The 14,510-nt window shown below is 45.4% G+C and overlaps 1 protein-coding gene across 6 annotated transcripts in view, besides 2 other annotated features; it reads left to right on the plus strand.

Moving 5' to 3' along the window:
- SHISA9 (shisa family member 9) overlaps positions 1-14,510 on the plus strand; it is a 661,420-nt gene that overhangs the window by 161,753 nt on the left and 485,157 nt on the right. The window lies entirely within an intron of this gene.
- Positions 6,384-6,918: an enhancer, noted in NCBI's record as "H3K27ac-H3K4me1 hESC enhancer chr16:13163591-13164125 (GRCh37/hg19 assembly coordinates)". NCBI's record gives its function as "activates a minimal SCP1, AML or CMV promoter by ChIP-STARR-seq in naive H9 embryonic stem cells {active_cell/tissue: H9 hESC(naive)}" and the evidence as "EXISTENCE:reporter gene assay evidence [ECO:0000049][PMID:30033119]".
- Positions 6,919-7,452: an enhancer, noted in NCBI's record as "H3K27ac-H3K4me1 hESC enhancer chr16:13164126-13164659 (GRCh37/hg19 assembly coordinates)". NCBI's record gives its function as "activates a minimal SCP1, AML or CMV promoter by ChIP-STARR-seq in naive H9 embryonic stem cells {active_cell/tissue: H9 hESC(naive)}" and the evidence as "EXISTENCE:reporter gene assay evidence [ECO:0000049][PMID:30033119]".

Genomic DNA, 14,510 nt, shown 5'->3' on the forward strand with positions numbered 1-14,510 from the left:
TAAAGTTGGTCGGGACCTTAAATGGAAAAAAAAAACAAAATCCATGTCCTATAGTTAGGCTAGTGCCTGGCATTCACAAAGTACACAAAGCATGTTCACCATCACCATTATTATCTTTGAATCTCAGTTTTCTCATCTCGTAAAGTGGAAATGACACTAACTTCTGCCTCCGTGTGTTCTTGTGGGGCGTCAATGAAATAATGGCGCAGAATGTTCATCTAAGTACTGGGTCCTTCAGCATCCTCTTCTTTCTTTACATCAGGAAAGCGAGATATTTCTATTGATTGCGCAATGGCATTGACAGCTCACCACTTTCCAGCGAGAGTCAGTGATGGTATCCAAGGAAGGGTGCGTATACTGCAAAGACTATAACAGAGACACACACATTGGTACCATGAAGCAGAACCAGGTGGAAATGTGTCAGCCAGGAGACGATATGGGGAGTATGACCCTATGCGGCCCTCAGCCTTTTTGGACCAGGAAAAAGCAAGGGTTTGTCCAGAGCCCACTCTTTGCGTAGCCCTAACCCATTCTGACAGCCAGGCTGGGCTCTTGTCTCTGACTTCCGACTCCCACACCAGCCCTTGGCTCTGCCCTACCAAGGAGATAATTTTAAGGCTTCCAGGCCTAAGCAGGCTTTGTGTTGGCACCAGAGGCCCGTGGCTCTTCTGTTGTCACTCAGTGTTTGGACCCACATTATTGCGTCCACGTTTAATTTCCTGTGTTTTGAGGGTTTTTGAGATGGAGTCTCACTGTGTTGCCCAGGCTGGACTTGAACTCCTGGGCTCAAGTGATCGTCTTGTCTCAGCCTCCAGAGTGTATTTTGACTCAACTTTTGCACTGAGAGCCAAGATTTGAATAGTTTTAATGCCAGGCCACAGTCATTCATTTATTCAGTCAACAAATACTTATTGAGCACCTACTATGTGCTAGGTACTTTTATAGATCCTGGAGATACCAGCAGCAAATTCAGAGACAGGTGACCTTGCTTAGGGAGCTTATCTTCCTATTGTAGAGGTAGACAAGAAAGAATAGAACACATGAGATCAGGCGCGTTCAGGGTGGTATGCCACTGACAAACCTGCACATGTTCCCCTTGAGCCTAAAATAAAAGATGAAAAGAAAAATAATAATAATACAAGAATTTTAAACACACCATTCCTTCAGCATATCAAAGTCAAGCAAAATGTACATAAGAATTTTGAATGATATAAGGATCATTATATGTGTATGCACAAATGTGCACACTTTCCAGTTCAATACCACTAGTAGCCAATAACGGAAGTTTGCATTACAAATCTACCCAGAAAACAAAAGAGACTCTCCTAAAAATATTAAAAGAAAACTTCAAATTTTTCTGTTTTCAGATTTTTTTCTACAATGAACATGTATTACCTTTATCATTTTTAAACAACGAAATAAAAGTTGTAAGGCAAAAAAAAAAAAAAAAAGAAAAAAAGAGAACAAATGGATGAGAAAGATTACCCTCACCAGAGTGGGATATAAACCAAACAGCCAAGGGAGAGGGTGAGACACTGGAAGAGGGTGCTTTGGGGAGGGGCAGCCTCACTGAGGTGTGACATTTGAGCTGAGACCTGATGGATCACAAACTGCATTCCTCCTTTAAGCTTTGTGTCTTTGTCTGTGACATGGGATCAGAGACCCCACCTCTTGGGAGGATGGTGGGAAGTAACCATTTGACAATGTGGTCAGTCTGGCCTTAGCTTAAGATATCTTGCCTTTATCTCCCCTAGATCTCCCAGACCATGGTCCTCACCTAACAAGGGTATCAGTTGTCTGCCTGGTATGTCACTCCTCCACGTTCATCTTCTTCTCCCCTTGTTTTGCATCCTTGGCAATGATCTCACTTTATTGCCACTGACCTTCTTCTTCCTTATCACTGATTTTTCTCTCTCCCTCCCACTCCCTCATCCCTGTCCCTTTCTCTTTTTCTTTCAAACCCATCTCCTTACCCCTATGTGAGGTGCATCCCAGCCTGGATACCAGCTCAATGTTGGGGTTGGGACTAGGTGTATTTATAAACTATGAACCAGTGAAAGTTTTAGAGAGAAGAAAACAGAATTCAAGGCCAAAGCCACGTTTAGGGCATGACAAACTGAAACTACCTCTGTTCACATGAAAAGAACACAGTTATTTAGCACTTGATATAAAAAATGATAACTTTAGGCACCATCAGGTGGGCTTTTGCCCATGTTTCTAGCTCTTGGGTGAGATTTCTTTTCTGCTTTTAATGTTCTTTTACTAATTAAAAGTTTCTGTTGCTAAGGAAGGGTTCGAAGGCTTGCCACGTTTCCCACGTGGTGGCTCTTCTGTAGGAAAGAACAGAGAAAGGAAAATAAAAGTTTCCGAACCAAGGTGTAAGTCCTTTGAATTTTCCAAGAAAGGCAGAAGCAAAGACTGTTGTCTGGTGCTCCTAGAATCTCCGCTTGTCAGGATGACTCTGCAGGTCTTTCATCACTCTGAGCTAGACCTTGACAAAGGACTGACTTCCACAGCTCAATTTGCAAGTCTTAGTCTTGTATACGCATGGTGTATGAACTGTCTTTTATGCCAGGGTCATTAATAATTTATCCTAGTCACCTGGCCCAGTGGAAAGTGCAAGCTTGTGAAAGGCTAGGGTTCAAACCCAAGACCTTCAATTTACCATCCAAAGGGTCTTTCCAGACCTCTCTACTCAAAGAAGCCCCCACATTTTTTCTCCATCCCTCACTGAGGGAGATACGAACTTTCAGAGCCAGTGTCTGATTCTCCACATCCTTTTCCTCTTGCTATGGTGATAACACTGAGATGGAAGATGCATGGAGATGGCACTTTTCTCGGCCTGGGTCCCTGCGTGACTACAGTGGAAATATCTCTTTCCTTATCTGCACTTGACATGTAGTGTGAATCAGAAATGGACCAGCTCTAGGGACTTAGGGGCTATTTGTTACTGCAGCATAACCTAATGAATTCTGACTGATACAATAGCATCTTTTATTTTTTCTTTTTCCTCTATGGCACTTACCACCATTACCATGTTTATTTATATTTGATATGTTTATTCATTTTCTGTCTCTTCTCTATAGAATATAAATTTCATAAAAACCATCTTTTTGTTGTTGTTGCTGATGTTCAAATGAGTAATTCCAGTATCTGGAGTGCCCAGTACGTGCTAGGCACTCAATGAATATATGTATTGAATGAACTGATTGATAATGGGGTTAATGCGGGAAGGTCACCTAACTTCTATAAGCCTCACATTCTTTATCTGTAAAATGGGAATATTAACCATGCCTGCCTCATAAGGGTGTTTTGAGAATTAAACGTGTAATGAATGTAAAGTACCTGGCATCATGCCTGGCACAAAGTAGGCATGTAGTAAATATGTGCTATAACAATTGTCAGTCCTGTGAACCAAGATCAGGGCCTCTATATGTAATGTCAGTTACATTTTACAGATATATTTTATGTTCCCCAGTCTTGTCAAAGGTCCCTTAGCAAATAAGTGGCATGGTTGCACTGGATTCCAGGATCCTCCTGCATTGAGACTCTAGAAGTTTTGTTCTAAATGTCTGCTTTTAGGTCACAGTCTGAACACTGGTTTTGGGGAAAGTATTTCTACTGTATTGGGCTGGAGTATCATCAAGATCCCCTAGAGCTTTAAATGCTTTGGGTATTAGGGTGGATGTTCAAATAGGAAGGAACTGTGGGAGCTAGTGCCTGGGGAAGCTTTGAGGGACACAGGTAGAAACACTATATGGAGAATTAAACTTTGAAGTGGATAACACCTTGAAGAGACAGAGTGCATGCTTGACTTAGCTTACACTTATTTTCTTTGCCCAGTACTGGGTGTGGGATCTGGTCCTGATGCAGGAGAAATGGACACAGTGGAATCTCTTACAGATCCTTGTTGGCCAAGAGATTGATGAACCTAGAAGGAACCTAGATGGGAAGTGGCTTGCATAGGTGCCCAGAAGCTGGGCTCTGGCATTTGATGAACTCAAGTTCACATGTGATTCCTTCACTTTCTAGATGAGTGATGTTGGGCAAACAAGCTCTCCTCTCTGTGCCTTGGTTTCCTCATCTGCCATTTTGGTTAGAATCAGGTAGGATTCTGTGTCTCCCCTGCTGGACTTGCTTCCTTCTATCTGTTCTCTTGGCCAAGGCCAATGTGTTCTATGTGGCATGTAATTTCTCTCCTAGAAATTCCACCCGAGCCCAGGAGGTCAAGGCTGCAGTGAGCTGTGATTGCACCACTGCAAACCAGCCTGGGTGACAGAATGAGACCCTGTTTCAAAAAAGGAAAATTTCAATGCCTTGGCATTGTCTTCAGGGGAGAGTGTAACTCAGTGTTCCAGCTCAGGCCCTGTCTTAGCTGGCCTTTGCTCACGTCCCCAGTCCGCCTGCACCTGCTGTGCCTGCTGCAGCCTCACTCCAACCCAGCTTTGCAGTAGGCCTTTGCGCCATTTAGATTCTGCTTGGCAGCCCCCACGCTGCTGCCTTCACCACTCTCCTGTCCTCCCACTGATTCCTCCTCAACCTTCAGATCTCACTTGAGATGTCACTTCCTCAAACCCCCGGACACCGGCATTAATGCTCACCATGCTACACTGATGTCACCTTTTTAATTGTCTGCCTTCTCCAACACACAGTCAGTTTCCGGCTGGCTGGGATGGGGCCATAATTGTGGGAGGGCCAAAGAGCTGAGTGGTTGACCACATATGCTCTGAGATCAGGCTCCTTGGGCTGGAACTGTGGGTTCATAAATGAGAGTTCTGGGTCCTAGGACAACCTTCCTGTGCCTTGCTTTCCCCATCCATGGTGTGGGTGTTCTTAAACAACACTCTTACCTTCCTTTGCCTCAGTTTCTCCATTGTGATGTGGGCCATTGAACAGGACTCTTTACCTGCCCAGGCCTCCGTTTCTCGACCCATAAAATGAGCCAACAGTAGTCATTCTTGTGTGGCTGCAATCAGGCAATGCAAATAGTTGTTTTTACTATTTTTCTATGGGTTTGTGGACCTGAAAATAAAAAGGTTCATAAAAGGGTGTGTGAACACCCACACAGACACCTGTTGTACACTTATTCTCACTCTCCCTTCACTAGGGGACATTGGGAATACTCCTCTTACAGCACTGAACTCTGCACAGCAGTTAGTCTAGTTTAGGAGTGGCCTGGAGTTTAGATGGAGAGAGGATGGGTTGTCAGTCTAGACTTTTCTTGTATTCCATCCTAGCAGCTCCGTAAACAAACGTGATTCTGAGCCATGGCTTTCACAGGTTTTCTGAATCCCAACAAGTACTGTGGCTGGGCCATTAAGAAGCCTAGCATCCCCTGCAACCTGTGATGGTAAAAGGGTCTGAGATGTGTGTGTGTATAAATGTGTGAGTGCAGGTGTGTGCATTCATGTGTGTATGTGTGCACACCTGCAATATGTGTATGCATATATGTGTGTACATGCAATGTGTGTATGTGTACTTATGCATGTATGTGTATATATATGCATACATGCAATGTGTGTATGTGTATTCATGTGTGTACATGGAATGTGTATGTGTGTATGTGTATACGTGTGTACATGCAATGTGTATATGCGCATATGTGTACATATGCATGTATGTATATATGTGTGTACATGCAATGTGTGTATGTGCGTATGCATACATATAAATGTATGCATATTCTTGTGTGTACATGCAATGTGTATATGTATGTGTGTACATGTGTACATGCAATGTGTATGTGTGTGTATACATGTGTACATGCAATGTGTATATGCACATATGTGTACATATGCATGTATGTGTATATATGTGTGTACATGCAATGTGTATATGTGTATACATGTGTACATGCATGCAATGTGTGTATGTATGCATGTATATATGTGTATGTGTATATGTGTGTACATGCAATGTGTGCGTGTGTGTACCTGCAATGTATGCGTGTGTATATGTGTATACATGTACACACAATGTACGCATGCATATGTGTGTATGTATATATGTGCATGTGTACGTGTGTGTACATGCAATGTGTATGTGTGTACATACAATGTGTGCATGTGTGTGTATGTGTATGTGTATATGTGTGTGTACACACAAAGTATGCATGTGTATGTGTATATGTGTACACACAATGCATGCATGTGTATATGTGTATACATGTGTGTACACACAATGTGTGCATGTGTAGGGTGTATGTATATAAGCGTGCATGTGTATGTGTGTGTACATGTGATGTATGTGTGCATGTGTGTACATGCAATGTGTGTGTCTGTGTACATAAATGTAAATGTGTGTGGTGTATGTATGTGTGTGTGTGTACCCATACCAGTGAGGGTGCTATGGTCTCTCACATTTATGTCTTGAAACTTAATCTCAGTGTGTGCAGATGAGGATGTGGGGCCTTTGGGAAGTGATTAGGTTATGAGGGCTTTGCTCTCATGAATGGGATCTGTACCCTTATGAAAGATGTCCCAGAGAGATCCCTTGGCCCTTCTGCCCTGTGAGGACACAGTGAGAAGAGAGGTGTCTATGAGGAATGAGTCCTCATCAGACACCTAATCTGCCAGCACTTTAATCTTGGTCTTCCCGGCCTGCAGAACGGTGGGAAATCAATTTCTGTTATAAGCCACCCAGGCTCTGGTGTTTTGTCGTAGCAGCTCACGTGGACTAAGAGAAAGGGTGTCACTTGGAAATTTGGGGGCTTCCATTTTATGTATTGTGGTTTTAGCTGTTTTTCCTTTAAAAACATCAACCCTTTAAAGTACGTGTGTGTGTGTGTGTGTGTGTGTGTGTGTGCACGCATGTGTCTGTGGAAACTGCCAAAGAAGACATGGAATTCCTCCTCTTCTCCCTCCTCCCATCCTTTTCCATTTTTTCTCCCCGTGCCCCTCATGTTGCTCTGTCCCCCGGACTCTGCCTCCATCTCTGTGTCTCCCTCCCTCTCTCTTTCTCTCCTCCTTCCGTATGCCCAGCACCCAGTCTCTGTGTTGGCACAGGAGTACTGGTTGCCTAGGAAACCACCGCAGGGCGAGCACATGCGATTGGCCAGGCTGGGACCTGACTCTGGGTTGGCGGGCAGATTTTTTGGGTGATTCTTGTCCTCATTCCCCTTTGGGGGAGGGACATTCTCCGGGATACAAAGAAACCTGGCTGTGCCGTGGCTGCTAGGGCTTCTCAGCCTGGGAAGGAATTCCTGTCCTAATGAGGATTCAGAGTTGCAGAACTAGGCCACCCAGGAACAAATTTCCAAAAAGGCAGGAGGCCGGGAAGTGGGGGCGGGGCACCAGGACAATCATAGCTAACACCTATATGTCAGTCACTGTTTGCTAAGCTCTTTATAGGCATTCGCTCATTAGCAAACCTATGCAGTTGGTGTTATCTTTCTCCAGGTTTTACAGATTGGGAGAGGGAGACTGAGAGATAATAAATAACATGGCTGAGGTCATACAGTGGCTAAGTGCAGAGCCGGGATTCGAACCCAGGAGTGTTGTATCATTAAGAAGTCCTCACAGCCGCCTTCCCTGAGGAGCCCCGAGGAAAGAGGGAAGATGTGGGACCATGAGGATAGATTAGATAGCTCCTTAATGTTCTCTTGCTTTCCTCCACTCTTATCCTTGACCTGCCTGGTTCTTCTCTCTCTTGAGTAACCTTTCAGTTTGAGGAGCTCTGAAGTCCTCAGGAACTAACATGTTCCACCTGCTTGCTTATCATTCAAGAATGACAAGACATTCTAGAAATGGATGGTGTGATGTTTGCACAACAATGTGAATGTATTTAATGACAGAGAACCGTGCCCTTAAAAATCGTCAAGATGGCAAATTTTATGTTATGTTTATTTTACAATTTAAAAAAAAGGAGTGACAGGGTCATACGTACAGCCAGCCTGGTCTTACGAACCTGTGATTTTATCCCTCTGGTTTTCCCATACTAGGGATAAGAATCAACTAGCAGGGTGGTTTTGAGCACTTTCTGTATGGTTGGCAGGCTCTCTGATGAGGGCTTAAACATGGATTATTTGATGGAATCCTTCCAACAATTCCTCCTACTATTTCCATTTTACAGATAAAGTAGCTGAGGCTCAGAACATTGAGAAATTTCTAGAGGTTATACATGGGTTAGTGATGCAGCCTCGATTTTAACCCTGGCCTTTCCATTCCATTCCTTTCCTTTCCTTTCTTTCCCCTCCCTCCATTCCCTTTTTCCTTCCTTCCTCCCTTCCTCCCTTCCTTCCTTCCTTCCTTCCCTTTCTTCCCTTCCTTCCCTCCCTCCCTCCTTCCTTCCCTCCTTCCTGTCTTTCCTTTTTGACAGAGTCTCTGTCACTCAGGCTGGAGTGAAGTGGCACGATCTCAGGTTACTGCAACCTCCACCTCCCAGACTTAAGCCATCCTCCCATTTCAGCCTCCCTAGTAGCTGGGACTACAGGCATGCACCACCATGCCCGGCTTTTATTTTTTTTTTTAATTTTTATGGAGAGAAAGGGTTTCACTATGTTGCCCAGGCCTGTCTCCAACTCCTGAGCTCAAGTAACCTGCCTGCTTTAGGCTCCCAAAGTGCTGGAATTATAGGTGTGACCCACCGTGGCTGGCCAAACCCCAGGCTTTCTGACACCCGCTCTTCCCAAATCGCCTAGGGCCTGCCCACTGTTGCTCACTGTTGACATTGCAGGGATGTGAATGAGAGAACTCCGCTTCTCTGCAGTGCCCGGGGACTAAATGATTCCCTGCCCCTGGTTCCAGCTCAGTCGCTTTGGAAGGCTTCAGTGCCCATCAGTCTCCTAGTGGACCGTTGGCTGGCCCAGGCCATCTCACCAGTGTCCTCAAAGTGTCAAAGCCACTTGAGTGAGGTTGAGAAGCGGTGGCTGGAAATAAAGCCAGTACCCAATGCAGGTAAGCCTGCCGGATCAAAGTTAATGAAGCCTGTCCTCAGGAACCACAGTGGAGTTTGGCAACATCTGGTGTGATTACTACCATCATGGGTTCTGGAGACATGGCCGGTGGGGCAGTAGCTTGGTGGTGGGGAGTGGAGAGGAATTCAGGGCTTTGCAGGGCCAGGGGAGGAAGTGATGGGGCAGGACCTGCTACCTTTTAGTTATCTCTTGGCGAAATTCCAGCCGGAGGCCTTCCTGCTGTCTTGTGCCCATCACACATCCCATCTGGGTCACTGAGCAGAATCGCTGAGTTGCTGTGATTTTTAGTTCTAGCAGCTCCTACGCTTGCATGTATCATCTCATTCAATCCTTTCAAGACCTATGATCAAGTCAGTCAAAAGTCTTATTTCCATTTTATTTTATTTTAAAAAAGTAAAATCTTTTTTTTTTTTTGAGACGGAGTCTTGCTCTGTCACCCAGGCTGGAGTGCAGTGGCACGATCTCAGCTCGCTGCAACCTCCACCTCCTGGGTTCAAGGGATTCTCCTGCCTCAGCCTCCTGAATAGCTGAGATTACAGGCGCCTGCCACCACACCCAGCTAATTTTTGTATTTTTAGTAGAGATGGGGTTTTACCATGTTGGCCAGGCTGATCTCAAACTCCTGGTCTCAAGTGATCCACCCACCTCGGCCTCCCAAATTGCTGGGATTACAGGTGTGAGCCGCCATCCCTGGCCTTATTTTATGTTTTGAGACAAGGTCTTGCTACTTTGCCCAGGCTGGTCTTGAACTCCTGAGCTTGAGTGATCCTCCTGTCTTGGCCTTTCAGAGTGCTGGGATTACAGACGTGAGCTACAATGCTCGTCCCTTATTCCCATTTTATAGAGAAGGAAACTGAGGCTCTGAGGGATGAAATTGTTCATCCAAGCTCACACAGGTAGCAAAATGCACAGCCAGGTCTGGCTAAGCCCAACTCTCTCCTATCTCTCTCTCTCTCTCTTTTTTTTTTTTTTTTTGTACAACAGGACTTATCATTTCTTGAGGATTAATTGAGGTCCCTGGGGACTCAGGGTAGGAAACTTATCAGGTGGTCGAGGATGAAAAGTGGGAGCAAAGAGTCTTTGCCATCTTTCACAGTTCTGTTCAATGTAGACATCTGGCACTTGCTAACTACCAGAACACAAAGTCACTTGGATGTGGAGTATTTGCCAAGGGCATTGATCTCCCACGTGGGGTCCCTGGACTAGCATCATCAGCAGCAGCATCACCTGGGAATTTGTTAGAAATGCAAATTCTCAGACCCCAGCTCAGACCTAGTGAGTCAGAAATGCTGGATGTGGGGCCCGGCAATCTGCAGTGCAAAGTCAAATGGTGGCAAAAAGACATGTCCATCTAGAACCTGTGGCCATGACCTTATTTGGACAAAGAGATCTTTGAAGATGTTATTAAGGTAAAGATTATGAGATGAGGTTATCCTGGATAAGGGTGAGTCCTCAAACCAATGACAAGTGTCCTTAGAAGAAAAGGGGAGAGGATTCACAGAGAAGGCCATGTGAATGGGAACGAGGCGGATACAAGCCAAGGAACGCCAAAGATAGCTGGTAACATTTAGAAAGCAGGAACGAGGCATGGGACAGGTTCTCCTGCAGCGCGTCCAGAAGAAACCAAGTCTGTGGACTCCTTGGTTTCAGACTTCTGGCCTCTAGAACCGTGAGAATAAATTTCTGCTGGTCGTTTTTTTTTTTGTTTTTTTTTTTTGTGGGGGGTGCAGAGTCTTGTTCTGTTGCCCAGGCTGGAATGCAGTGGCGTGATCTTGGCTCACTGCAACCTCTACCTCCCAGGTTCAAGTGATTCTCCTGCCTCAGCCTCCCGAGTAGCTGGAATTACAGGCGCCCGCCATCACGCCTGGCTAATTTTTGTATTTTTGGTAGAGATGGAGTTTTGCCATGTTGGCCAGGATGGTCTCGAACTCCTGACCTCAGGTGATCCACCCCCCTCGGCCTCCCAAAGTGCTGAGATTACGGGCATGAGCCACCATGCCTGGCCATTTCTGCTGTTTTAAAGCACACAGTTTGTAGAAATTTGTTATGGTTGCCACAGAAAACCAATACAAAGCCCTCCAGGTGGTTCTGATTCACAATAAAGTTTGAGAACCAATGGCTCAGAGCTGTGCCTCTCCATTTCTTACCCACCCAAGGATCAGCCCAAGGATGAACATTTTTTTAATAGGCTTTTAATGGTGGTTTCTATGCACACTAAAAATTGAGAGCATTTAGCCTTGAGGATACGGTGAGTAAATACCTTTTGTCTCTCTGCAGTCTGGCCATACCCAGCCAAATGAGATATATTCTTCAGCCAGCTTCCTACACTTGTGGGAGTACTGCTATTTTTATTGTTATCATCATTACTATTATTTTTTTCTTTTCTTTTCTCTTTTTCTTTTTCTTTTTTTTTTTTTGAGGTGGAGTTTTGCTGTTGTCACCCAGGCTGGAGTGCAATGGTGGGATCTCAGCTCACTGCAACCTCTGCCTCCCAGGTTCGATAGATTCTCCTGCCTCAGCCTCCCGAGCAGCTGGGATTACAGGCACATGCCACCATGCCTGGCTAATTTTTGTGATTTAATAGAGATGGGGTTTCACCAAGTTGGCCAGGCTGGTCTCAAACTCCTGACCTCAGGTGATCCACCTGTCTCGGCCTCCCAAAGTGCTGGGATTACCGGTGTGAGCCACCGTGCCTGGCCATTACTATTATTTTTATTGCTAGTTTTCTCTGCTTCTTTGCAGTTGGCAGGAGAACAAAGTGAACCAGTTTATGGTAGAGATGATTGTACCCAGTTAGGACCCTATATCTGCCCCCTACCATAAGTGCTCCCAGCACACTGTATAAAGTATTGGGGCCTGGCTGTGAGATTAGCAGAGTCCACAGGCATGAGGCTCAGCTACCCAACTCCCATCTGGGAGGTAGGACCACTGTGGAAGCAGAGCAGGGACATGGGAATTTCCTAATCATCTGCTTGGATAGCATAATGAAGTCAACATGCTGCATAATTACATACTTGGGAAGTTTCCATTATTCACCATGTTGTGATCTCTAGCACCTGGTGTCAGCCCCTCCAGAGACAGAGAGGCTGGCTGGCAGGAGGAGCTTGCATGGCTCCCTGAGCCCCGAAGCCAAGGGATCCTGAGTACGTCATCATGCCTTGAACCCGTGGGAGGGTCTTTTGAATCCAAGTTGTCCTGGTGCACCTCCTGCCTGCAAGAGACAGGAAGACGGGAAGACGCAGCAGGCTGGGAGGAATGGTCAGCTAGGGTCGTGGGCTCCCCAGGGGATCCTTCTCGTTCTGAAAACTCAACCTAAGGCTTTCTGGATTTGCTGAGCAGGAGCGGCCCATTCCATTCATAATATCTATTGGTGGCATTGTTCATCTCCTCTATGCAAGGCGCTTCACATATTATCATAGCTAAGCTTCGTAAAATGTCTATTCTGAAGGTACTATTGATTCACATTTTAGAGAAGATGAAGTAGGCCAGCAGAAAAAGTAGCCTGATAAAGATCACACAGCTGGTAAGACAGAAGCAGGATGTGTCTAACTCAGTGTTTCTTATCTAGATACTGTTGGCATTCGGGGCCAGATGATTCTTTGTTGCGGAGGATGGCCCTGTGCATTCTAGGGTGTTTAGCAACATCCTTGGCTTCTACCCATCAGATGCCGGTAGCACACCCCAGCTCGGTTGTGACAACCAAAAGTGTCTCCAGACATTGCTGATGTCCCCTAAGGAGAAAATCAACCCCCATTGAGAAATAGATTTTTTTTTTTTTTTTTTTGAGATGCAGTCTCGCTCTGTCACCTAGGCTGGAGTGCAGTGGCGCGATCTTGGCTTGCTGCAACCTCCACCTCCCATGTTCAAGCGATTCTCCTGCCTCAACCTCCCAAGTAGCTGGGATTACATGCATGCGCCATCACACCTGGCTAAGTTTTGTATTTTTAGTAGAGACGGGATTTCATCATGTTGGCCAGGCTGGTCTCAAACTCCTGACCTCAGGCGATCTGCCCAACTCAGCCTCCCAAAATGCTGGGATTACAGGCGTGAGCCACTGCACCCAGCTGAGAAACAGATTTTGTTTTTTCTAAGATGCTACTCTGCCTCTGCAAATATTCTAAATCTGAGCAGCTTTGAGGCACCAGGGTATAAGGTTATAGATGACATTACTTCTTTACCTATGCACTTTTTAGTTAGCCCACTTCCCCCTGCTCCCTCCTTTCCCCCACCCTCTGTCTTGCACACACCCAACCTTCTGCCATTTTAGAGGTATAGAACAAGATAGAATTTGGTTGACTTGTTGGAAGTTCATATAGCTAGGAAGTTGAAATCAAAGTAAAGCTAAGTTTTGCAGACCCTCTTCTAGCCCTTTTCCTATTTCCCCATTTTCTCTCCTCCAGTACCTCCAAGGCATGCTGGAAGCTGGGTGAGCTTCCTGAAGCTTCATTATGTGACATCGGCAATAGCCTCTTGCAGTGATTGGTTTCCTTACTTTCTCTCCATTTCTTTCCAGGAATCTACTTGGTTGTCACCTCCACAGATGAATAGCTGTTTATAGTGTGTCTGAGACCGTATCCCTACTTGTCATGGTCCCTGTACATAGTAGGCCCTCAGTAAATATTTGTTGAATTAATGACTAAATCACTCTGAGTGTCATTTCCACGAATTAAAATAACATGACCTTAGCTCGTAGTGTCAATGACACTTTGCCTGGGTTACAACCGGGTTTGAGGCAAGAAGCAAAATCCCACGGAGGCTGGAGAGAGCAAAAGGGCTTACTCACTGGAAAGAGCCAGGGATACCTCACAGATGCCAAGGGCAAAAGTACAGTCCAGCTAATGCAGCACCAGGACCAGGACTAAGATCATTATTCCGCCTTTCACCCTGGACTGAACAGCGTCTGATCTCAGATTTGCACAGCAGTTGGCTTTATCTCTGTCTCCTCTGTTTCTATTTTTCACTTCTTCTTCTTCTTCTTCTTTTTTTTTTTTAACCTTCTGAATTCCTCTCTATGTCCAGACCAGTGTTCTCTACTTTATCCATATGGTAAAAGATGACTCCCTCAGCATGGCAAGCTCAACACCCCCACATTGACTTGTCCTCATATTGAAGCACAAACCCAGACCAAGGAAGATTTTGCACACTCAATTTCAAATTTCCAGGAGAAAGAATCTGATTGGTGCTCCTTGTACCAGGTGATGCTCTCTGGCCCAATCAGGAATGGCCATGAAGTGGGGCTTTTTAGTATAAAAATGACCCCTGAGGTCCATTTCCATGTTTGAGGAGCAGTTCTTAGAAAACTGGGGGATGGGGAAACACCCAAAAGCCTCTAGTACATTTTCTCTGCCCAGGTGAGAAGTAGTAGCCTGCTCCACCTTGCCTGCATCAAAGTCAAGTGTTGGAGAAACATCAGGAGTTGGCATGTGACTCTCAGGTGGGCATAACTGGCTCAGACCCTCATTCAGTTCCTTTCCTTTTCCAACAAAAATGCTCAGAAGGAAGCCCTGAAAGGAAGTTGGAGTGCAACAGCTGCCACTTCTAATTACAGCCAGCCTTAGTCAATTTGGATTAATTGGGGGCAGAAAGTCCAATTTAC

This window comes from Homo sapiens, chromosome 16 (assembly GCF_000001405.40).
Source record: "Homo sapiens chromosome 16, GRCh38.p14 Primary Assembly".
NCBI lineage: Eukaryota > Metazoa > Chordata > Mammalia > Primates > Hominidae > Homo > Homo sapiens.